Source organism: Homo sapiens, chromosome 1 (genome assembly GCF_000001405.40).
Source record: "Homo sapiens chromosome 1, GRCh38.p14 Primary Assembly".
NCBI lineage: Eukaryota > Metazoa > Chordata > Mammalia > Primates > Hominidae > Homo > Homo sapiens.
Genome location: NC_000001.11, coordinates 87,956,573 through 87,980,798, shown reverse-complemented (window position 1 = coordinate 87,980,798; position 24,226 = coordinate 87,956,573). Strand labels below are relative to the sequence as shown.

Below are 24,226 nucleotides of genomic sequence, written 5' to 3'. Positions count from 1 at the left end.
GCATGGCTTAGGCATTATGGCTCAGCAGGCAGGATGAACGAGGAGAAGACGAGGTCTGTGCCACCCAAGCAGTCTCAGAGTCATGAGTTCTCTACTCACCTGGAAACCCCCTGTAGTCTGTGCCTGAACAAAGACCTATTATCTGGGCCTGGCAGTATTTACCCAGCTCAGAACACAGCAGAAATCTTGGCCAGCAAGATAGTTTGAGGCTGCACTTTGTGGCATCCACAGTGGCTTTATGGCTTCGGGTTTGTAGTGCTAGGTCTTTTCTTTTTCTTTTCTTTTCTCTTCTTTCTTTTTCTGGTTGGCGCAGTGCCTGCGTATTTAGGTAGTTGCTGCCAGGTGAGTGTTGGCATCTTGTATAATGGCTCTACTGGTTATAATGGCATGTACCCAGACATGTGTAACTAAGAGGGAGGAAAGATGTACTAAAAATTAAACTTCATTTTTTATGTTTTCTTTATAACAAAAATGGGTCCAATTATTTAAGTACTAATTATCAATAGTTGTATAACAACTGAAAGGAAAATAGAATGCTGTATAAAATTGACAAACAATACAGGCATCTAGGAGCCTATGAATACTTTTCCCACTAAATCTGAATTTCCACCCACTGCTGTAGTTATTCTTGGCTCTTTTTTCGCATGAACTTTCTTTCACAGACAACTAATATGCTGAGATCTTTGCTAAGCAGATCGAGTATTTTGAGAAATATGATATCAAAAGGTCCTCTTTAGAAGAACAGGCTTCCGAAGTAGCAGGGCTATAAGCATAACTTGAGTCTAGTCGTGGGTTAGAATATTTTTATAGAATACCTTAGGAATTTTATTTTTCTAAGAGCAGAAATTTGGAAATGAGCTGCCCCAAAGTCCATTTGCTTACTGTCCCTCCACCTCATTGTTCATTCTCTAAAACTTTCCAGCACTTTAACCCTATAAAAGTGGGAAAACATATTTCTTTATACTGATAGAGATTTTAAAGATCACATTAGTGGTCTATGAAAAGTCTTTTCTAGGGAAACAATTACGGAAATATTTGTAATGCTTTTTTGGGGTGGGGCAGGGTGACTGAAAGGAAGAAACATATGTTTTTGGAACTTAATATACATTTTAAAGTTTGTACTTAAAAGCTACCCCCAGAGTTCTTGATTATCTCAAGGTGAAGACAGTGTTGAATTACCTACTTATGGTGACAGCCTGTCAGACTGAACATGTTGCAGAAGACTAGGGGAGTCTCCGCAAGCCCAAACTGCCCTGAAGGAATAAGATAGAGATGAGTGGAGGTGGAAACGGGTGCCGTGCCTTAATCAGAACCCCAATTACAGAATGTGGATGGTTCTTTTTGTCTCCTGTGGTAGGAGCCCCTCTTCTCTGTGGTAATTTCCATGTGTGGATTGGCACTTCTGTGAACACACATGAAGAAAACAGGCATCCTAAAAGATGAGGACTTTATGTGCTCGGAGTAAACACTGGAAAGTATCAGGTTCCTCTCACTGGAAACCACAAGGGTCTGTTGTTACAAGATAGACACCTGGGTTTACTCAGATCATATAGGACATGCGAGGTTCCAAAGCAGATGCAGTGGATAGGAAAATGGTAGTGCTGAGATACAGATACACCCAAGCTAATAAAGGGAATGATGGAGTCAGCTCAACTCCCTGAAGAATTAGAGATTTTGAGAGTTTCAGGCTACACTGCTTAACTTGGTAACCACAGTGACCAGTGAGCATTCGAAGTGTGGCTGGTCCAAATTAAGATGTGCTGGAAGTTTAAAATACAAAACGACTTCAAAGACTTTATATGACAAAAAATAAAAAAAAAATCTCAGTAAATTTTTGTGATATCTATATGTTAAATATTTTGGTGTGTTGGGTTACAGCACATATTAAAATTAATTTCACCTGTGTCTTTTTATGTTTTTTAATATGGCCACTAGAAAACTTAAAATTACTTGATGTGGTTTGCATTTGTGATGTGCATTATATTTCTACTGGGACCCTGGCCTAGGGTATGTTCGCGTAAGGAAGCCCTGTGTATCTGAATGTGGGATAATTCAATACAGTACTTGTGTTAAGTATATAAAAGCCTATGTTTCTGAAATAAATTCTATAGAGCTGTTATAATACAGCTTATTATTACACAGAGCTGGCTACCCCATAGGTCAAGTAGCAAATCCTAAACCTTGATAACACTCTTTAACAAAAGCCCACTTATCATATTGGCTTGGAATAGAGGCATCATATATCTACCAACATGAAAGAAGGAAAAGAAAGTGTATAAGGGAACAAGGTTAAGGTTGGGGAATAAAGACAATTCATTCAATATATAAAAGTACTTTTCAGCAACTCCCACATTTAGAGAAATTCAGAAACAAAGGATTTGGAAGTCCCTGAGGACTCACTGTAAGGAAGCCTATTGTCTTAAAGAAAGCCCCCAGAGAATCAAAGAAATACGTTGCATTAATGGGATTTTGCTGTGAAGAATGTGCTGTGTTCTAGGTAATTTCCAACATGATGAGCATTTTTCTGTATTTTATTTTCAAAGGGTTCTATATGAATTGGGCCTTTGAAGAAAAAAAAAAATTATTTCCATGTGAAGCCACCTCAAAGACTCCCCCATTTTAACCCTTCATGAAATGAAGGGCTCCTTCTCTGAAGACTGTTCTATCACCCAATCCTCATTGCTCATTGCTCCTGAGACGTTTTTCAATCCCAGTGTAATTAACTCCATCATGGAGGCGGCTCTAGATGCACGTATTTGCCCCTCTGTGATGGAAAATGTATGCCATTTTCAGTTACAGTCAGTAATTAAAATGGCCTAATCTACATTCACTTTGTAACCACAGACTCACCCTCCCTCAACCCCAGAGGTTGGAGGGCTGCCTCTCTTAAACCTATGGTGAAGATCTCTGACTGGCTGGCAAATAGTTAGAACAGGTAAAATAATCTAATCTGGAATATTGCTCTCCTCACCTTTTTTAATAAACATTTTACCTCACCACAGACCTTAATATAACGGCAGTAAAGGCAGGAGAGGAAATTGGAAACATGGCCAGGAGTGTGCCTTATGGTTCATAACAGCCCCAAATTGTGACTGTTTATTAAAACTAACACCCTTTTGTCAGGGTGTGGATCAAAATATCCAGTGGTTTCTCTTCTTTGATACTCCTTTCCCTTTTTTATGGCACTGAGTTTAAATTTCAATTTTAGGCTTTAATTAAGTTTCTAAAATTGTTTCAGACTAAAACATTGATATAAAGAAAGCACCTTGTCCATGATTTGGCCCCATCAAATATTTCCATCACTTATTTCAGTCAGTAGGAGATGTGTATGTGTGGATTGGCTCTTGGGCCACTGGGACAGGAAAGAGTTAAGGCAGGTGAAGGAAGGGAGGAGTGAGGTGGCCAGAGAACTGCCTCACAAAATACAATTAAGGGCCTTTCCCAGGCCTGGGGCGCTCTGGTGCTGCCAGGGGAAAGGAGGATGGAGTACAATGTTCTCCTTGTCCACACACCTCCCTTTTGTTTCAGCAGCACTTTGGCTCCCACGCATGCAAAAGTTTGAATTTCCTGTTGGCTCTGAGGTGAGATTTATAACATTTATTAAGGTTGCTATTCATTGTGAGTTTACTGGGCAATAAGCCTAAGAGCTTTTAGGGGCTTAATTGCATATGTTTATGGGGGTTTGCAAAGCTCCCCACAGCTTCACTGTCAGCCAGGTTGGCCAAATGTGGACTTCTTGGTGTGTCCAGGGAGGGTGTCCCAGTCCAACGGGAAGGTCAGGGGATGGCTGAAAGTCTAAGAAGGAGACAGTACTGTGAAGTATCAGGTTGGTTTTCTGCTTGGGCTATTTTGATTTACTTCCCTCCAGCTCACCTACCTCATTCTGGCCATGTTTGAAGACACATTTGGATTTTTTTGTTTTCTCCTGGAAGAAAGGAGAAATAATTTGAAATAATAGGTGTGTGTGGTGGGGGAAGGGGGGTAGCAGGTAGCATTGGCAGAAATGGAGGTAAACACATGTTACAAACATAATAAAGGTTAAATAAACATTTTCACATGCACTGTCACATTTAATCTTCACAATAGCCCCAGTAAAGCAGATATTACTATTCTCATTTTACAAATGAGGAAATTGAGGCTTAGAGAAATAGAATAACTTGTGAAATTAAAATAGCTAACAAATGGAAGAGCTGGGATTTAAATTTTATTTTTGTGGGGCTAGAGTTTGTTCTAGTTCATAGCTCCACACTACACTGACCCAGGCTTCACAGCTGATTGCTGCTTGCTCAACTAAGCACTTGGTTCAATTGTGTCATCAGGACATTGGAAAGTAAAGAGGTAAGCTTTTTTTTTTTTTTTTTTTTTTTTTTAAGATTGTGAGTTTTCTTTGTCACAAAAAGGTAGCTTTTCCACAATGATCTTATGCCTTGGACTTAGCCAACCAAGGAAGTCTTCCAGGATGGAGTGGGTAAGAGCAGAGAAAAGGCAAATGGGCAATGCTCTGAGCTGACGAGGTTCAGGATGTGCTTGCCTACAATATAACACCTTGACATATTGAATATTGTAAGAAGGAATTTGAGAAATGGTGGGTACAGGAAGGACTCTGTGACTGTATTAGTCTGTTTTCATAGTGCTATGAAGAAATACCCAAGGCTTGGTAATTTATAAAGAAAAAGAGGTTTAATGGACTCAAAGTTCCACATAGCTGAGGACACATCATGATCATGCTGGAAGGTGAAGGAGGAGCAAAGGTGTGTCTTACATGGAGGCAGTCAAGAGAGCATGTACAGGGGAACTGCCCTTTATAAAATCATCAGATCTCATGAGACTTATTCACTATTGTGAGGACAGCATGAGAAAACCTGCCCCCGTGATTCAATTACTTCACACCAGGTCCCTCCCATATGCGAGCTACTGTTCAAGATGAGATTTGGGTGGGGACACAGCCAAACGATATCAATGACCTTCCCCTGAAGCAGGTCAGAAGACCTTCATGTGAGAGGAACCCTTTCTATACTGGGATGAAAAGCACATCCTTATCTCTGAAGATGGAGGAAGGACAAGAGAAACCTGAAGGAATAAGCCTTGCTAAGTTTCCTTCAGTTTACTACTCATAGCTGATATCCTTTGTCCTATCACATTTTTCCACAACTCTCCACTCTTCATCAAACTTACTATAAAAACACTTGGGTTTAACTGTTTCTTCTGGTCTTCATTTCCTTATGAAGTCTCCTGTGTCACATAAAACTTATATTGAATAAATGTATATGATTTTCTTTTGTTAATCTGTTTTATAACTGAGAACCTAGAAGGGTAGAAGAAAAGATATTTTTTCTCCCCTACAGGGCCACTCAGGGGAAAGGGTCAGATATCTTGCAGTCCCTGAGAGTGGTAGCTACTGAATCAGCCCTATAAGTTGGTGACAGAGGTGGAGAGAGAGCGAGAAGAGTCCTATAGCCCATTTCATTATTTCATGCATACATTTATTTAACAGATATTTGGTAAGCACCTTCTATATACTAGGCACTGTGGTAGCATTGGGCATGCCAGACGCTTCAGCACTCTGCCTGCTCCCCCATGCTGTGTGGAGGTGGCCAAGAAGCTGCCCCGTGCCTTGCTTGTCTCTTAAAGGCTCTCTCAGGTCACCCCAAGTTCTGCCACAGTGGCTAATTTCCCAAACTGCTTTGTGGAGATAGTCTTACCATGGGGAAGAAAAAATAAAAAGACAGAAAGCAAAAAAGGCTGATGAACAGTGCACTCTTCATATGAAATAAATAAATATCTCTACATACATATATACATGTAAACATATATAAATATGCATACATAGTATACTCTTCATAAAAAATAGACAAATATATATACATATATGTGTGTGTGTATACACATTAGTCTGATATCAGTCTGATGGTCTAGTCCAAACTGTCATTACAAATTTATGGTTGGACTTCTAACAGGCAAAGAGCATACTGGCACAGAGGACTAAGCCGTTGAGCCATCATTGTTGGAAATGTATTGTTCAGGACATTTGCTAATTTATTGATGCAGCAGCAGAGTTAGAATCAGATTCACGCGAAGAATAAATTGGAATATTTTGGTGCATTTCTTTAAAAAAAAAAAGCCACTTTAAAGCCTATGTATTAAAATGACAAAGTCTTAAATAGGGGTCTCTTTTTCTAAACAAAAGATATGCAAATTGCAATTCAAGATTTATATTATGATAAAAACTGAAATACAAAAGAGTCATTATCCTGCAAAATGTAAAAGTACATTGCTTCATGAGTCTATAATGATATAATGGGATGTTGATGTAGTAAGAGGTGTCAGAAGGGAGACAATGACCTTAAAATTTTAAGTCAGAAACATTAGAATTGAAGAGTAAGTATCTACCTACCCACCTAACTACCCATCTATCTATTGAATACTGCACTTTTTGAAAATTTGAGATGAAGAATAGTCTATTTTTATCTTCTAATGTTGTAGCCATAATTGGATGGAGGAGGGGTTGGGAAATTACTTTTAACATAACCATTTCTACTCTGAAATTGGATAAAAATTTACCTTGAATTTTAGGTTTATAGGCCTGTTTCTCATAAAAATCAGTGGTGTGTTAGGAAGCTTGGAGACCATTTCTGGCCTAGCCATAGGGCCAGTGCCTTAACATCAAATGTCAGTGATTCCAATGCTCCCTGCATAAGAACGACTTGCAGTTAGTTTGCAGGGCCTCCCACTGTTTAGATGATCACAGTCATTTCCAATTGGTCATTGTGTTTCCCTGAAGGAAGGTGGGACAACTTAAAAAGACTGTATTAGAACAGCATAGATTTATTTTATCAAATCGCAGAGAAACTCCAGCAAACAGATATTTAGCTGTGGTTCCAACGGAGACACAGTTTAAGTAATCAAGTGATACACCACATGTGAAGCAGATTTACAGGATTGTTCTCTCTACTAAACAGAGCAGAATGTCTGCTTTAGCTTTATTTGGCAGAAATTTATATACTTGCTTCATGATTTGATCTTAACTTAAACAAAGGACGTTGGTCTCAGCCACCACTGATTTCAGGGCAATAGCTCTGTCTAATTTCTGAAAGGCATCAGAATTGTGACACTTTGAAAATCAGATGGTTGCACAGTGTAGAAGTATCTTAAATGTTTATTTATTGTTTTAGTGAGCCAAACCCTCATTTTTTTTTTTCTGAGGGCGCAATTGATTACACTGAAAGTTGTAGGCAGAAGGATCTGACTTTTATACAAATGTCAGAACCTTCGCAAAGCAATTCCAAGAACTTCAAGACACACCCCAAAAAGCCAGGGGCTCCAAATGAGGCCTAAGAAAATACTCTCAGACTGAACTCCTGATGATTTTCCAGTTCAGAACATGGCTGAGGGTCTTCTGTCACGGCGAGCTCATGGTTTATGATTTTGGAGGCTGTGCAATGCTCCTTTCTATTTCATCTTGACTTAATGTCATTAGTCTTCCTTCACAGAAACCTGAGCGTTCATTTTCTAATCTATCTAGATGATACGCTGACAGCATTTCCCCTGATCGAGACTTTACCATTTATGTCTCTGCCTCTGTTAATCATTTTCAGAAATGAGATTTATAGTAAAAAGGATTAAATCAATTCTGACTACCTCCAAATTTCTAGGATTTCAGGGATTCTTGATGAACACAGAAACCATGGCCCCTTGGAGAGGCTTTATTAAGAAGATCTTTTTTGCCTTTGTGAGCCGGCCTTTCAGAACTAGCCGTCTCTGTGGATCATAGCAAGTCAACTTCTCTATGTTTTGTTTGGCAACCACACCACAGAGGCTCCCCTCTGAGCAACTCAAGCTGTTTTTGATTGGAAATAGATTAGTGAGCTATCAATTTTCTTCTCCTTTATTCTCCATCTTTCCTTCTTTCTCTTCTTCCTAGTCCTAAGATGAGTACCCTTAGGAGACGTGTCAGCCTATTTCAATTAAGTGTTTATCTTTTAAGTTTCTCATCATGGGGTAAATTATGACATTTTTAGAAGCCAGGGTTGAAGAGAAAAATTATACCCATCCAAACTAAATCACAGCTTATAGCTTATTTTCTTCCTTTCTAATTTCTCTAATCTTCAGCTTACTTCAAATAACATCACTACTATGCATCAGGCTTTGTGCAAAGCAAGGAGCTTTCACAAATATAATCACTTTCCTTCTTTCTTCTTTCCATCATTCCTTCCCTTTTCTTTTTCCAGATACACTCGACTTTCCTTCACTGAACATATTTTTACATCCTCCCTGAAAAACTTTGGCTCTCCTCCTCTTATACTCACTGGGACGTAAGTACAGGCATAGCATTCCCTGACTTTCTCCCACCCTTTTTTTAAACACTGCCTATCTCATGAGGTGTGCTGTCTCAGCAAAATGACAGTGATCACACTGATTTATCTTTGATCATGTGTCTAGGTGATCAGATTCTGTGCCTTTAAGTTCAGCTGAACCACTACTTACTCACTGATAGTTGTCCTAAGCTATCTGCTCCTGTGTCATTCCATTTGCTATCTCCTCCAGTCTAGAGTAGGCCTGCATTTATATAACCTCCTTGGTTTGGTTTCCTATGTCTGTCCCTGTTCTCAGATCCTTGGTCTAGGTAGACATTTTGGCTTCCCTAGCTCTTATCCTTATTGCTACATAGATTCCAGGTCCTAGAATGAGAACTGCAAACCTTCTGGACTCTCCACTTTTGGGGGCCACTCTGGGCAACTATCAGAAATACAATCAACTTATACCCACAGAGTCTTTCCCCAGTACCATCCTACTCCATTACTGTAGGGCTTGCCACAGTCCCCAGGTTTGGAGAGGGGAGAGTAGGTAATGTGCTACACATTTTGCCTCACACATTTTTGCCTCAATTTAGAATGTCTTATTTTCACCACTGTGAGCTGGCCCATGTCTGTATGCTCTAAAGTCACTTTGCCATCTCTCTAATCTCCAGTGAAGACTAAGTGTTTGTATATATAGAATTTGCATACCATACACACAAAGATTTCAGTGTCCAGAATCCCTGGCTATGGATGCCTGTGCTGCTGCTCCATGGTAAGAATACTTGGAAATGGTAGATACATCCTTCAATTTTGACTGAGACAGTATGGTGACGTGCACACTCCCAGCTCTCCTGTCACCATGCCCTCTGCTAGTGTCTAGGGACTACTAGGCAAGAGCCAGAAGTTTTACTCATACAAAAAAAGTGGATTTTGGCAACACTTTAATATATGAAAGGTTAAAAAGGAATTTCACAAGTAATAGACAGGGTACTTTACCCCCTTGTTAGTTGATAAAGAGGGATTTAGCAAGTAGGAGGAGACTAACAAATATTACTAACTTATAGTTTCAGGGGTTCCATGACTCAGATCATGCCCCTGGGGTGCTCAGTATCATCCATAATCACAATAAGCACCTGCTGTATGCACAGGACCCTCTACAATCCACTGAAGATGCAAAGTGTTATAAAAGATGCAAAATGCTGTAAAAGACAGCTGTTCCTTTCCAGGGGATTTGGATGAGTCCAAAGAGAACACTATAGGCTTAAAAGATAGAAACTATCATAAAACAGTTGTTTGGACAATAAGTACTAAAAGTGTTTCAAAGAGAGTACAATGACTGCAACTGAGACAGTCAAAATGGAACTTTACTGGGGATCACAGCCAGCTTCATGAATATGAGACCTGTGTAGTCTCAAGGAAATTTAATCTTGTTTTAATTCTCTGCTCTTGTCATTTTGAGATTCTTAATAATTTAATCTTTGAATTTGTGTTTTATAAGCAAAGTCCAAAGGGGGCATGCGCATGAGCAGAGAAGATACGTACAACATGCGTGTCAATCTCTCCTTGCTGCCCTATTTGCATGTAGTATTCACAATGCCCTGTGAGCCTACAGTTCTGGTGGACCTACAAGATGTGGGAGTTAAGGGAGATTCAAAGCAAGTACAGAGTTAAGTGTGTTGTATCTATGACAGTAATTTGGGGAGGAAGGGGTGGGGTAGGGGGGCACTGACACCCTCTAGAGGCCATGCTTTTCATTCCAGGAGAATTCTGGTTAGCTTCAAAAACAGACCACAGAAAGAAGGCATGGAGTTCTAAGAAACACAAACAATTAAGGAACTCTATCGGATCCTTTCTACCCATGTCAATTCTGTGCATTAATCAATCACTTATGCTGGAAACGACGACGTGGAATGAAAGGAGATGATAGGCCAATCCATAGTTCCTTTTCCTTTTAGTCTATCCTTATTCACTAGTAAGCCAAAAGTAGAGTGTTAATAGAATATACATGTGAAATATTTTGCGTTTGTTTTGCATTTGTTTATTTTCTTATTTAGAATGACATTAAACAGAAAATAAAAAAGAAATCATGACAATTCAGAAGAGAGACCATAGAAGACGGGAAAGCATTTTATAATTTAGTACATTTAATAGCACTTGTTTCCTGCATTTCGAAAAAGGCCTCCAAATTTTCACTTTGTGCTGGGCCCCACAGATTATAAAGCACTACCTAATGGTCTTGATGGAAAGATGGAACCTTGAGAAGCCAAGATCCTCTGTAGGAAGTAATATCTTTGTGACCTGAAATGGGTTTCCCTGATTTGGTCTATGGGTATCAAAACGGAAATGTGAATACTCAAAAGTACTTGTTCAATGCCACCATGTATCAATTTTCTTCTATTGATTCTAATTTTAGAAAGTTAAACCTATCCCAAATGTTTGATGAATTCTCAATTTTCTTCTCTTCTTGTTACTCTATGTTCTCTAATTTTTAATATATTCAGCTCTTAGACCTTCATCTGTAATTGACTTTGGGGTAAAATGTAGAACCAGGAAAACTAAGTGTTTTCAATTTGCAAAATACTCCTTTAAGACCTTAGCTGTCTGCTGAACCATATTAAGACTCCTGATTTTTATTTGTAAACTCCTTATAAACATTTCTTTGGATTTCTATCCATTTCCATTCCCCTTGCTGTCCACAGCCCTGAACACTGCTTGTATTCTACTACTCTTCTACCTGGGTTCTCAATTCCAACCCAGCAACCACCTCAGTATCTCCTTTATGGAATTTCCCTCTTCTACTCTTGAGTTACATACATCACCCTTTCTACCTGGGATAATCTCATATAGTATGATTACTCCTATTTCTCGCTTACCTCGTTAAGAAAAATAGAGATTCTTCAGTCTTACTCCACTTCACCTTAACTACAGATTCACCAAAAAGAAGTGGAAGTGCTTTATAACTACAAAGCACAATACAAATATAGTCCATAACATTAATGTCATTTTCATTATATTAATTACAGTTAATCCTTGCTTAGGGCTCTCTCTATGCCGGACAGTGTTCTAAACTTTTATATATATTAATTCATTTATATTCTCACAACGACCCTTTTAAGGAGTTACTAGTATTTCTCACTTACAGATAACAAAACAGGCACAGAGAGGTTAAGTAACTTGTCAAACAGGTAATAAGTAGTGGAGGGGGAATTCCAACTCAGCAATACCCTTGTTATGCCTTCCTAAGGAGAGATGCTGAAAAGTGTCATAATGTCATTCATAGCTTAGTATGCAATAACACTGATAAATTAACATGCATTTACAAAGGCTCTACTTCCATATTCCCAAGAGGAACGGGGAAGCAGAACTGAATAATCTTTACATCAGGAATTGCCTGTCAGAAAAATCCACCCACTCTTTGACTCTATGATTTTGTCTTGTTCCATTTTATTTTTTAATTTTGGAGAACAGACTTCTCGGGGAAGTCAGATTTTACTTTGATTTTCCACCCGAGACTGGAGAGTGGAGAGCCTACATGCCTTTGCTGTCTCCCACAGATGCTTATTCTAGCTGTGTGACCACCAGCTACATGACTGCACTGCAATCCACTTGGAACTTCCTAGCAGGACCACCCAGAAGCTGCAGCTGGTGCAGAGTATGTGGCCGCCTGGCCTGTTTACATGAGAATGTGAGCCTAAGAAAGTGGACAGTACCTGCTTTCTGCTGTCAGCCAAAGCCTTCATTCCCCTGGAAAGACCCAGTGTGTAATCTAGAGACATTCATAGGTTTTAGCCCTAACTATTCTCCAGACTTGGAAGTGTTCCCTTCCCAATGTTGGACAGCTTCTCCCAGGATGCTTGTCACATGCCCCAGTCCAGTGGAGCCAGCTGTAGCTTTGGAAATGTGGGTCAGACAGACTCCAAATGTGCTGATCCTCAGATAGCCCACTTTGAAAGAGCCATTTTCTCATACAAAAACTTTCCGTTGAATCATATCCTATGCACTATCTCAGGCTTCTCAGAGAGCAACAACACTTAACTTGTAAGAAAAAAAAAAAAAAGAAAGAAAGAAAACATGTCCTTAAAACCCTTGCCTGTATCTTTTGTGGGCAGCCAAGTTCATGCCTGGCCACCACCCCAGGAGGGCCTTTGGCAATAGTCACAGCTGAAAGCCTTTCTAGCCAGATGAATAACAGTGTCCGGAAAAGCTGACCTGGGGGCTGAGTGGTGCCTCTGGAAGCAAGTTTTATAGAGCTGTTAGTAACGCCTTTATCACACTCTTTAGGTAACAGATTTATTGCTGAACAGGTTATCTTACGTCTATGTTTTTGTAAATCAAATCCTTTTTAAAACTTTGTTTTGGAACTCTTTAGAGAGCTCACAATTTAAAGAATTTTTGTAATGGAACATTTTATAAAATCACGGGAATAATCACTCCTTCAGACATCTGCTTCCAGAGTAAGTTCAGATTTTCAAAGATAAAGTTGCCTTAAGTTGAGGGGGACCGGTATTAACAGCTCTGTCCCGTCTACTTTGTCCTTTTAACTAGGCCACTCCACGCTCTCTGTTGCATGCTACAAACAGGCCCTGGGGAGTAGAGATGAGGAGTAAAGCCTAGAGATAAATGTCACAAGCGGTTGAGGCTTTTTCTCCAATGTTAGGCACAGAGCACAGATTCTTCTGAGGCTGAACCTTGAGAGGAAAGGCAAACTAAAATTTATTGAATTAGTACTATGTGACAGGCATTTAATCTCACAACAACCCAACAAGGGAAGAAGGAAATGATAATACTCAGTGAATCCTACTACCTACTGGGAATGAAGCTGGTAGCTTTACAGTATATTTTTTCATTTAGTCTTTATAATTAGGGTTGCCATACTTAGCAAATAAAAATATAGGGTGTCTAGTTAAATGTGAACTTCAGATAAACAATAAATAATTTTTTAGTGTAAATGTGTTCTGTACAATATTTGGGACATATTTGTATGAAAAATATCATTATTTATCTGCAATTCATATTGAACTAGGTATCTTGTATATTACCTGGCAATCCTACTTATACTAATCCTAAGAAATAGGAATTATTATTTCCATTTTATAATTGAGAAAACGAAAACTCAGAGTCATTAAGAAATTTGCCCAAGATGTTAACTAATGTCAGAGTTAGGATAACAGTCTCGTTCTGTTTGACTCTAAATCCTACATATTAGCAACTATACCAGAAAGTCCCCTCATCCTAGCTAATAAAGAGGATCAGTTTTTAGTCAGCTAAATAAACCACCTTAAGTAAAAGGGCTAAGTTCAATTTTAAATACTATTTATTAATGATCTACCTGGTCCAAAATCCTGTATTGGGGCTGGAGAGAAGAAAGAATATACTGCCAAGATTATTTAGGAACCAGGGCCAGCCCTCACATAAAAACATAATGAAGTGGATAAGATGGTTGAGAGAGAAAGAAAAGGAAAACAGAGGGAAGAAACGCTCAACATGTTACTCGATCTCACGTTTTTAAACAGGAACATTTGTGTTACAGTTGATTCTGCTCTAAAACTTTGAACTAATGGTGAGGTCCCCTGTACAGCATCTTATGCGAGAAGCGGTGTTAAGTGAGGGAAATTGATGGTCATCCTCAGTGTCTCTGAGGAAGAAGATCCCTTCTTGCAGGAGATCAGCATCTGCCTTTCTGGAGTGTCCCCAGCACCTTGAGTTTGTGGCTCCAGGTCACATAGTGACTTTTAGGGTCCTGCAGTGGTTTGGCTGTCACATGGCTTACCTCATGGATGGACCAGGGTGACCTTGGCACGGCTGTCTAGTGAGGAGATTGCCCCTTCCTTCCCTCACTGCCCATAGCTGCCAGCTTGTGTGATGAAATTGATCAGGAAAGCTTAAAAAGAAGGCAGAATCCAAGGCAGCAGGTATGAGAAGCTCAAAAAATAAAATAGTATCATCATAAAGTAATATTTGAGTAGCTCATTTGTGTTAAGCATTGTATCAGCTGTGATTCATGAGCATTATTCCCAAATATCACAAGAATACAATAAGGTAGGAATTATTATTTCCATCTCACGGATGGGAACACTGAGGCTCAAAGATGTTAAGGTACATGCTGAAGGTCACACTGTGCACATGAATGTCTGCTCTGAAACCCTGCTCTTGTACAGCACTGAGCTCTCTCCTTAAAAAGAAGGGGGCGGGTGGGTGCGAAGGAACTGGACTCCTTCCCTCCATACAGGCAGGGAAATTCACACTAAACAGCAAGGGGAAAGAGGAAATGCAGAACCTCAGTGCAAAGGAGCAGGCCTGAATGTAGTACCATTCTGTCTTATCTCTTAATTGAAGCCAGGGGTATACATGCCCACTTCTGTAGCTAACATCAAAAATAGAAATCAACACTGTGCAAATGTATATCTAATGGTATAGCTTACAGTATGATTCCCTTTCCCCATATCATTTTACAAAATAGAAAAGATTAGGGGAAAGAAACTTAGAAATGGACACAGAAACAAAAAAGCATATATATATATATATATTGCTATTATAGTAAGGGCCTTTTTAAAGTCGAAATTCTGTTTTCGATAAGAAAAGCTTTTAAGAACTTTTTTATGTAGCATTGTTTATCTGTATTTATAGTCAATTTATTCCTTCACTTTGCTTCTCCTATACTATAATGCTAAGTTTCCCTTCATATTTTCCCAATGGTTAACATTCTGCTTCTGAAAATTATCCATTAAAATTTTATCAATTTTGTATTTTGGTGAGACAGTATGAGGAAATGCCATTGTGAAATTAGATTTTTTCTTTGACATCAGGCGCCCAGTCAGCAATCCAATCCCATGTGTTTCTATTGAGACATTAGGGTTTGATATAATTTTGGGCAGAAAACATTTTAAAAATGAAACAATTGAATTTTCTAGATGGTCTTGGGGACCACTTAGCTTAAGAGAATACACTTCCAAATCAAAAGCCTTTCAATCATTTTAAATATTATTTGGATGATATTTGCTCTGTGTGTAGTAGCAGTTTGAATTTGTATTGAATGTTTGACCGGCTCATGCACACATAGATGATGTATGAAATTATTATTTCATATTTTTCTAGTGTTTGCATTGCAAGTGACATCTGGCTGACAGGAACTTGGAGAAATGGGATACGAAGTGAATGCTGCAGTTACCACAAGCATCATATTTATCAAAAGGTTTAAGGTTGGCCTGTCTTTGTTTAACATATGAAACTTGGAACAGTGATGGGGAAGCGCTATGTTTTGGTGTTGCGTGCATTTTTTAACTGAGCTTTTTAGTAAAAGAGTAGTCGGAGAATAAACACTAATTGTATTATTTGTTCTGCTCATGAAACTAAATATTATACATTCTAATTTTAAGAAAACAGACTTAAATTCTGTTTAATATAATTTCCATACATTTTGCCTTTATTCAGAGAATTTGCAGATTTCATATTAGAAGAACATACATATTGAGCACTATTCATCATTACTCAGAAAAGGCGATGTGGGAGGAAAAAAAGCTCAACCTAATTTTTAGTTTTATTTTCTAATTTGTAAATGTGCAAAACCGAAGTAAGACATGTGAAAACATAGTACAATATTTGCAAGCTCTGAATCTGCTGTAATACACACATACGAATATCAGCATTTTCCTATTCTCCCGTTCTTGGAAATCATGGGGCAAATTATTAATTAAGTCATGAAAAATATCATTCATTTAACAAAGATTTATGAGCCTGCTATGGCCTGTGGACTACCCAGGTGCTGGAGATATGCAGAGGAATTCGACAACCCCTGCTCTTAATAAACTCACAGTCAGGTGGGAGGGGAGGTCAATATGAAATAACTAAGTACAATATAAGGCTATAAATACCACAATATGGAAGCACTGATAAAGGGGAGTAGATGGTCCATCTGCCACAGACAGGTAGGGAACAGAAAATGCAACATAAAAGCCATTGTGAAATCCTCTTAGTGTATCCAAGTAAGACTCACTTATTTTTTGAAATAGGAAAATAGAAAGATGGTGAAAAATCATCCCAGCTCTTATCACCTAAAGACAAATACTGTGAACATTTCCATCTAGTGTTTTCTCAATCACTACTTTTTTTTAGTTTTGAAAGTATTGCGATAATACTGCAAATATGCCAAATGTATGAAAAAAATACTAAGCTGCTTTCAAAGAAAACATAAAATGTCATCATTTAATGGATGTCCATGTTATTTTAAACTGGATATTGTCCATATAACAATGTCCATATAAATCCAGTTGATTGTCAATACCATAAATTAGCCATTACTCTATTAGGATGTTTGCCTTGTTTTCCATCTCCCTCAACCAACAATAAATTAGTGACTTCTAAGAAAAAAGGCATTCAGGAGAAGAGCAAGAGATCTCCAATGGTGGGATTCCTGGCACCAAAGTAAGAGGTGAAAGGTGTAAGTAACATCTTACCCTTTTCAACATTTATTTCAACATTTATTCGGCATCTACTACTGTGCTATGTACTTTGCATGTGTTAATTTGTTTATTGCCACAGGAACCCTGATTCAAGTGTAGTATAGTGAAAATAACTGCGGTTTTACCTGGAGTGGAGTTCAAATTTAATTCCCAGCTTTGTCTAGATGCATGATTTCCAAATTTAGTTAATCTCTCTGACTCTCAGATTCCTCACTTATGAATTGGGCAATATTATTACTCATTTGTTTAATAATATTATGCCCATATTAGGTATATATGTATATTATGTGTATGGTATCTTGACAGGCAGGAAATGTAAGATGAGTATAACATGTCTCATGTCTTTGAGGAGCTTACAGCCTCATGGCAGAGTCATTCTTGGGAGTGGGTCTGACAGGTCCCAGGAGACATATTCTTCCTGGTGGAGTAGCATTTGGTCTGGATCTTAAGTAAGGAGGAGCAGGTTTTATCTCACGGTTCTTCAACCAAAATGTTCATTTTCTGATAATCAATCAATCATGTGCCCAGTGTTGTGCATATTTGTTCTGTTCCATGTTCTGAATAAGCTTACCAACTAGTTTCAGTCTTAATGCCTAGAAGAATGTGGCTTCCGATTTATAAATTAATACACTAACCTATTTAAGAAATGATTGTGTTGGTTCAGAGGTGATTGGTTTCTACCAGAGCCTTTCTTTCTAAAAGATGTGCTCAGCCTTGTAAACAGGGGGTCCTGTTGCTCTATCAGTAACCATCTTTGGACACTGTATTTTAAAAACCTCATTAATCTGAATACAACTGTTACTGTTGTATACCTAGAATACCTAGGTTTCACAAATGGACAATGGTATTGAGCAATGCACAGACATACTCTGTAATCAGATTTGGGACTGCAAATGTTAAGTCCCTCCCTGCTAAAAATTCCTAAATCTAAAATTAAAGCTAGAATACTCAGACCTAATGGCAAGTTTTCAAATGTTCATAATTTAGCAATTTAAAATGTTTCAGAAACCATGAAAAATGTCATTTGAACCAAAAAGATAATTTAGCAAATTTTTGTCTTCCTTCTTCTACCAAAATTTCATGCAAAAGTGTATCTGAAGATTCAACAAATATGGGAAAGTAAATATATTTTCAAATTTTACTAATTAACTACAATTTTAAAATAAAACTATCTACAACTCCTATCTTCTGTAATGAATCAATGGTGTATCAGTTAGCTATTGCCATAAAGCTGCTGCATAACAATTTGCTCCAAAATTCAGTGGCTTAAAACAATTCATCTATTTTGCTTTTGAGGGTTGACTTAACTGGGATTTGGCTGGCCTAGACTGATCATGGCTAGTGTTGGCTCTATCCCATGTGTCTCTTGTCCTCTTCTTGGGACTTTTGGATTAGTTAGACATATCCTTCTTTTAGTGATGGCAGAGTCACCAAAGATTGAGTCCAATCACCCAGTCATTTTTCAAACATCTGCTTGCATCACATTTGCTGACACTGTACTGACCAAAGTACATCATTTAGCCAAAGCCAGAGTCAGGCTGGATGGGGCACTGCAGAGTTACAGGGCAAACAGCATAAATGCGGGGAGTGGGGAAGAAGAGGGGCTCTTAGGGTAATCTACCCTAAATGGCTGTGGCATTTACTACAAAGAAGAATGGAGTCTAAATTCAGTGGGTTTTTATTTTTTAATTATCATGTATTTAAAGCCTTCTGTATTCCAGGCATTGAATTTTTACCTCATTATCTTCCTGCAAGCCTACAAAATATATTTCAACATCTCAATTATGCAGATGAAGAAATGGAGGCTCAGCAATGTTGAGTAACATGTTGAAGCTTTCATGGCTGATCAGTGGCTGAGTCTAGAGTTAAATCCTGTCTGGGGACTCTGGGCTTCAGCTTCTGTTCTTTCTACTATGTAATGATGACTCTTCAAAATTTCAATTGTAAAATTTAAGAACAAGGAGAAATTTTTAAAATCTCATCTAATGTCCTTATTTTGTAGATGAGACAACAGAGCCTCAGAGAGATGATTTTTCATATTTTTATCTTACTAATTAATAAAAAAAATCTAGTGACTAGAACCTGGATCTCCCAATTCCTCATTTTCCTCATTATTTTATACATATTTTTGTCATTGATCATACATTTACTGAGTACTTACTATATGCCAAGCACTGTGATGATCAAGTGTTCTATTGCTGAAATCGTATCCTGATTGTAGAAATGAAGAGAAATAGAAGGTCATATGCATGCCTACTATGTGTCACAGTGGGTGTCTTTGTTTTCTAAAATTTACCAAAAATAAAGTTCTGAAGTCCTGCATCAATCTATTTCTACCAAAATATAGGACAGGTTTTTCTCTTTGGCCCTGATCACATTCTACATTTCACAGAGGCCAAGTTGGTCTTGGAGGCTGCAGGAGTTGCGTAGGCAGCTGGAGTCTCACTGCTGCTCAAGGTGGGCATCTAGCTAGGTTTGGCAGCTATGTAACAACTCTGAAATCATACAGCTGCCAGGCCCCACCTGAATTAGAACTGACCTTAAGATGGATTTTGTAAACCATTTAAATAGATCTCTCCTTTTGGAAAGTTTTCAGAGTTAAAAAGAAGAAAACAATAAAATGCCTCCAATTTTCAGACCCTCCCTCTGAGATCTGCTTCATGCAGCCTTCATGCTCTCCCCAGCACTGAATCATTATCCCCAGTGGGTTCTAAAGGCTTAAGACTAATGGAAAGCAAGTAAAACGTGGCTTAGAGCTGCCTGCATGGAACGAGAACCGCCCTCTCCATGTTGCTGGGCTCATTGTATTAGCCCTGGGAGACAGAGGAGGGTGTGGAAGAAATTTGGAGGCAAACCTGGCTGGGTATGGAAGGTGTTGGGGCAAATCACTTAGTGTTTCCTTTTCGGGGAGAAAAAAAAAAAAAAAAGCACCATCCAGGCCAGGGCCTGGCACGTAGCAGGTGCTCAAGAAATAGTTGTTGAATGAATGATGATTGAATTAGACTGTCTCCCCTACTTCTATTGCTTATCTAGTTATGTTTCTCTTGATTTTGGAGAAAGCTTATTCAGAGACTTAGTACTGCATGGAGGATAATGCTTTAGGCTCTGTGTTTAATCATTCAAACAATATGTTTGAGTGTTTACTGTGTTCCAGGCATTGAGGGCATGATGGTTTGCAAAACCATATGTAATTGCTACTTTCATGGAACTTGCAGTCCAACGAGATAAATCAGACATGGATTTTGAATCCTTACTCTGTCATTCACTAGCTCTTTAACTATGGATGGCTTATTAATTTCTTTGTGCCTCAGTTTCCTTATATATAAAAAACTATAATAATAGTACTTAATTAAATTTATATACATAAATACAAAACAGAATATTGTCTGCTCTTTAATAAGCACTGTATAAACGTTTGTGAATATCTCATATATTACTGGGAGGATTAGATATGAAAATGCATGTAATGAGCTCAGCATGATGTGGGCACATATGAAGAACCTCTCAATAGATTATTATTAACCTATTATGGGTAGCCTTAAGCATTCTAGCAATTCTAAACTTGATGTAGAAGAGGTGGGATGTGGTGGGGAGTGGATCAGAGGGAGAGTGATGTTAGGTCTCGTGCAATTAAAAATCTACTTTCTTTTTTTTTTTTTTTTTTTTTTGAGACAGAGTCTCACTCTGTCACCCAGGCTGGAGTGCAGTGGTGTGATCTCTGCTCACTCCAATCTCTGCCTCCCGGGTTCAAGCGATTCTCCTACCTCAGCCTCCTGAGCAGCTGGGACAACAGGTGCATGCCACCACCCCTGGCTAATCTTTTGTATTTTTAGTAGAGACGGGGTTTCACAAAATCTATTTTCTTAATCTTAGACACTCAACAACACATGCACACACACATAGAAACTGCACATACACTGCATACCTGCACATCCTTTACAGTACCATTAAGGGCATATTTAGGAGGAGAGGTGCCTGTGTGTCCCTAAATTAAATCTTTCTAAAAGTTGAAGCCTGTTTTTGTGCATTCACCCCCATCTTATGGACACAGTTATTCTATCACACCCCGCTAAAACACAGATGAAGGGAATTTCCCAGAAAGACCAGGAAAAGATGCCGTACCAGCTAGGGGATCTCTGGGCAAGTGGGAGGGTCAGCTTCTACTCCAATTCAATCTTGAGGGACGCTTTCCCACCGTCAGAGTCCGTCAACATCTGTAGAATGATGTATTTTCCTTCGCACTCACGCTTTTTTCGTATATCAAGTGTTTCTTACTCAGTATTGCCCTGTTCCTTTGGATCCAGTGAAATCATTAGAGATCTGCCATTAATAATTCTTAATTGTATTCCCTTCCTTCTTTCCCACTGGACTCCTGCTAGAGCCTATCCTTCTGTACATAATCACTCCGACCTGTTATTTCTCCTTCTCCGTGGGTTTCTTCCTCCATTTGAATAGCTCACTCATAAACAGCATCATTGAGACTCAAGATAAGTAGATGTACAAGTGCCTCTGCACTTGAAGCTTCCCATCTGGGCAAATCCTCATCCTCTCACTGAAGCATGTCTATGACTTAAGTTTCCACAGCCCTCTTCAGCAGCAGAGGAACGCCTGCTCCCTCCTCCCTTCAGTTGCACACCAGCCGATGTGGCACACATTATATCAAACTTAGGCCCCCAAATGGCCCCACCCTAGCCTCTCAGCCAGCACATGTATGCGTTGGCAAAACAGGGGAGAAGAGACAATAAGAATATTAGAAGACACATTTAAGGGCCACAACATAAAAGAGCAACTTAAGTAACAGTACAAACAAGAAAAACTATTACTATAAGCAAATTCCAAAGGATTGTTCTCTGTTTTCACAAAAACCAGAGGAGGAAAAAAAAAAACAGCCTTACACCACAGTGGGACAGGGTTTTGCTAAACATACAGAAGAACCACTTGACAGTGGAGATGAACAAACCCAGAAGCAAGCCACCCCATAAGTTCTTGAAAGCTGCATTATAAAATGAAAAATAACAATTTATTTTGAATGGTAGAGAAAGACTTTCTGGGAGATGAGGTTGGGAGTGGGGTGGAGTTGGACTACACAAACACATATAATCTTGGAACTGGAAGGGACGTTCAGGGCCTGCACCATCTGTTTCACAGAAGAGGCACAGAATAAATTTGCCCAAGGTTACAAGGCTAGTTAGTGTTTGATATTCCAGACTTCCTAACTCCAAGTCTAGTGCTCTTTTCAGAGCCCCAATTTAACTTAGAAATTGTGTCCCACTTTAAGATGATTTTTTTAGAAGGAGGAGAAGAAAGAGGAAGAGGAGGATTGAAACAAACAAACAAAAATGATGGATGGTTGGTTTACCATTATGCATCCTGGTAAATCCAGGATGTGTAAAAGATAATCCTCTCTCCTGGGAAGAAGAAACAGTTAACAGGTGACCATTAACCCTGAAGCCTAACACTAAACCAGGGCCTGTGAAGACTTGCAGTTATCTTCATTTTGTTGTTTAAAAGACTGGGTTCCATAGGCAGAGACAGAGCTATGCTGAATAGCGACACTTACCATTTGCTCCTCCAAACACATTCTGTAGGAAGGCGTGGGATTTCACAGCAGTGAGAGCAAAACTATTCACAGCAGTACCATATGCTCCCCACCATCAGGAGCGGCGGTACTGGTCACTGGACTTGGCAGGCAAATCAGCTGAATGGAAATTCTGAAGACCACAGTAGGAGTTTTCTCTTTGTGGGTTTTGGATGGTAAAATCTTCAATCTGTTCCACAGGCAGAAATCAGAGTGAAAAATAATTCTACACAAATTGTGAGTGTATGTGTGTGTGTGTGAGGACGTGCATGTGTGTTACTTCTAGAAAAGTTAAGGGGAAGCAAAGGCTTGGTACTCATCTTGCACACTATCTTATAGAGGTAGGAGGTCACACACTGAATGCAAAGAGGTAAAGACTGAGAACGCAGAAGATAGAGGATTATTTTTAGTATAAATTCCATGTTTTCCATTTTTTACCTCTAAGAAAAAAAGCAAGATTGAGAAGAATTTCCCAAATGCCAAGACCATTTAATAGCAGAATTACAACCGACGATAAATGCAGCACTTTTTAAAGCTTGTCCTTTCTCTGTTATTAACTTTGTTCTTTCAGTTGTGCCAGAGAAAGCACAAGAGATAGAAATTGGCAGAAATATGGGTCTGAAGAACAGAAATTCAACTCAAATGAAAATACCGTGAAAACCTCTAGTATAAAAAAAGTCTTTTGTTTAATAGCAAAACTTTCATCAAGAAAAGGTTTGTTTGAATTAAATGTAAAATTTAGGACAGTCTGTTATCTAATCATTACTAGTTCTGTGCACACAGGGTATTTTCTATTTCCAAAGTGGTCTGCAATCATTAGTTAAGCCACCCAGCATGCTCAGTCTAAATTGTATATATGTATATAATAGATAGGGAGAGTTGCTGGGGAGAGGCAGCGTGGCCTAGCAGGCTGAGTAATGGACGGGTAACTCAGAGTTGGGAGTTCTCATTTTCATCACCTGGTTAGTCTACAGTGGGAGCCAAGCCTGTACCCACAAGACTCTAAGACAAGGAAGCAACTTGTTTCGAAAATACATACATGTATGATATAAAATATCTTTTCCAACAATTGAGGAGTTTTAATTTTCTATAAGTACCATTGGCATCATGTAGGTCCAGTCTCAATTTTCCCCATAGGCAAAATATATTTTTAAAGGCCAGTCTTTCTGTAAATAACTATATTGAGAGGCAGCACAATGCTTAATAAGATACCTGTAGATGCTCACCAATGTCCTTTTTAACATGTGGAAACTGTCCAGAAAGTTTAAATGTATTGGAATAAATCAGTGGTGTAATTTCCTTTCCTCTTATTTTTGGCCATCAATAATACTAGTATATATTGTTATCCGAGCTTTGCCAACTTCAATTTTTCTCTTGAAAAGGAGAATCCTCTAAGCAAGATGTTGCTTTTAAGTGTTCTAATGTAATTTTTTCAAACATGAACCAAATGCTGGTGCCCAGCAGAGCTTGTCCACATCATGCCTGGATTCCAATTGCATAGCTTTCCTTCATTTTCATTTGTTTGCTCCTACCCTATCCAAACACATTAATTTGTGGTTCAGATAATGTATTCCATATGTTTAATTAGCCATTACATGAAATGTGGGAAGGTGGGACTTTTAAAATGCATTCTCCATTTCTCCCAGTTTCCTGACTGTTAACTCACATTCTCTGATGGTGTTTGTTTGTTTGTTTAATTATTTTCACAATAAAGAATCTGTCTCCAACAAAAGTAATTACTTCAAGTTGTAGATTTTCTTTGGATAATACAAATTTAGTTTGTTCTATACAGTTAAATTAATTCTGCCCTATCTTGTATACAACATATGTGATGTAGTCATTGCTCAATAAATAAATACTCATAATAAAATATAACTTAAATAGACTAGTAT

At 38.6% G+C, this 24,226-nt stretch overlaps 2 long non-coding RNA genes across 2 annotated transcripts, besides 3 other annotated features; one reads left to right on the top strand and one right to left on the bottom strand.

The window, feature by feature from the left end:
* The first annotated feature begins 3,914 nt into the window (after positions 1-3,914).
* On the top strand, positions 3,915-15,630 carry LOC105378836 (uncharacterized). Its single transcript, XR_947568.2, has 2 exons — positions 3,915-4,338; positions 15,393-15,630. It is a non-coding gene; the product is annotated as an uncharacterized LOC105378836 (long non-coding RNA).
* Positions 6,451-6,968: an enhancer, noted in NCBI's record as "OCT4-NANOG hESC enhancer chr1:88439514-88440031 (GRCh37/hg19 assembly coordinates)". NCBI's record gives its function as "activates a minimal SCP1, AML or CMV promoter by ChIP-STARR-seq in naive H9 embryonic stem cells {active_cell/tissue: H9 hESC(naive)}" and the evidence as "EXISTENCE:reporter gene assay evidence [ECO:0000049][PMID:30033119]".
* Positions 11,504-12,003: an enhancer, noted in NCBI's record as "H3K4me1 hESC enhancer chr1:88434479-88434978 (GRCh37/hg19 assembly coordinates)". NCBI's record gives its function as "activates a minimal SCP1, AML or CMV promoter by ChIP-STARR-seq in primed H9 embryonic stem cells {active_cell/tissue: H9 hESC(primed)}" and the evidence as "EXISTENCE:reporter gene assay evidence [ECO:0000049][PMID:30033119]".
* Positions 12,004-12,505: an enhancer, noted in NCBI's record as "H3K4me1 hESC enhancer chr1:88433977-88434478 (GRCh37/hg19 assembly coordinates)". NCBI's record gives its function as "activates a minimal SCP1, AML or CMV promoter by ChIP-STARR-seq in primed H9 embryonic stem cells {active_cell/tissue: H9 hESC(primed)}" and the evidence as "EXISTENCE:reporter gene assay evidence [ECO:0000049][PMID:30033119]".
* On the bottom strand, positions 14,068-20,921 carry LOC101927871 (uncharacterized). The gene is made up of 3 exons (XR_426720.4): positions 20,879-20,921; positions 18,918-18,967; positions 14,068-14,178 (listed from the first exon to the last, which is right to left on the bottom strand). It is a non-coding gene; the product is annotated as an uncharacterized LOC101927871 (long non-coding RNA).
* Positions 20,922-24,226: the final 3,305 nt, after the last annotated feature.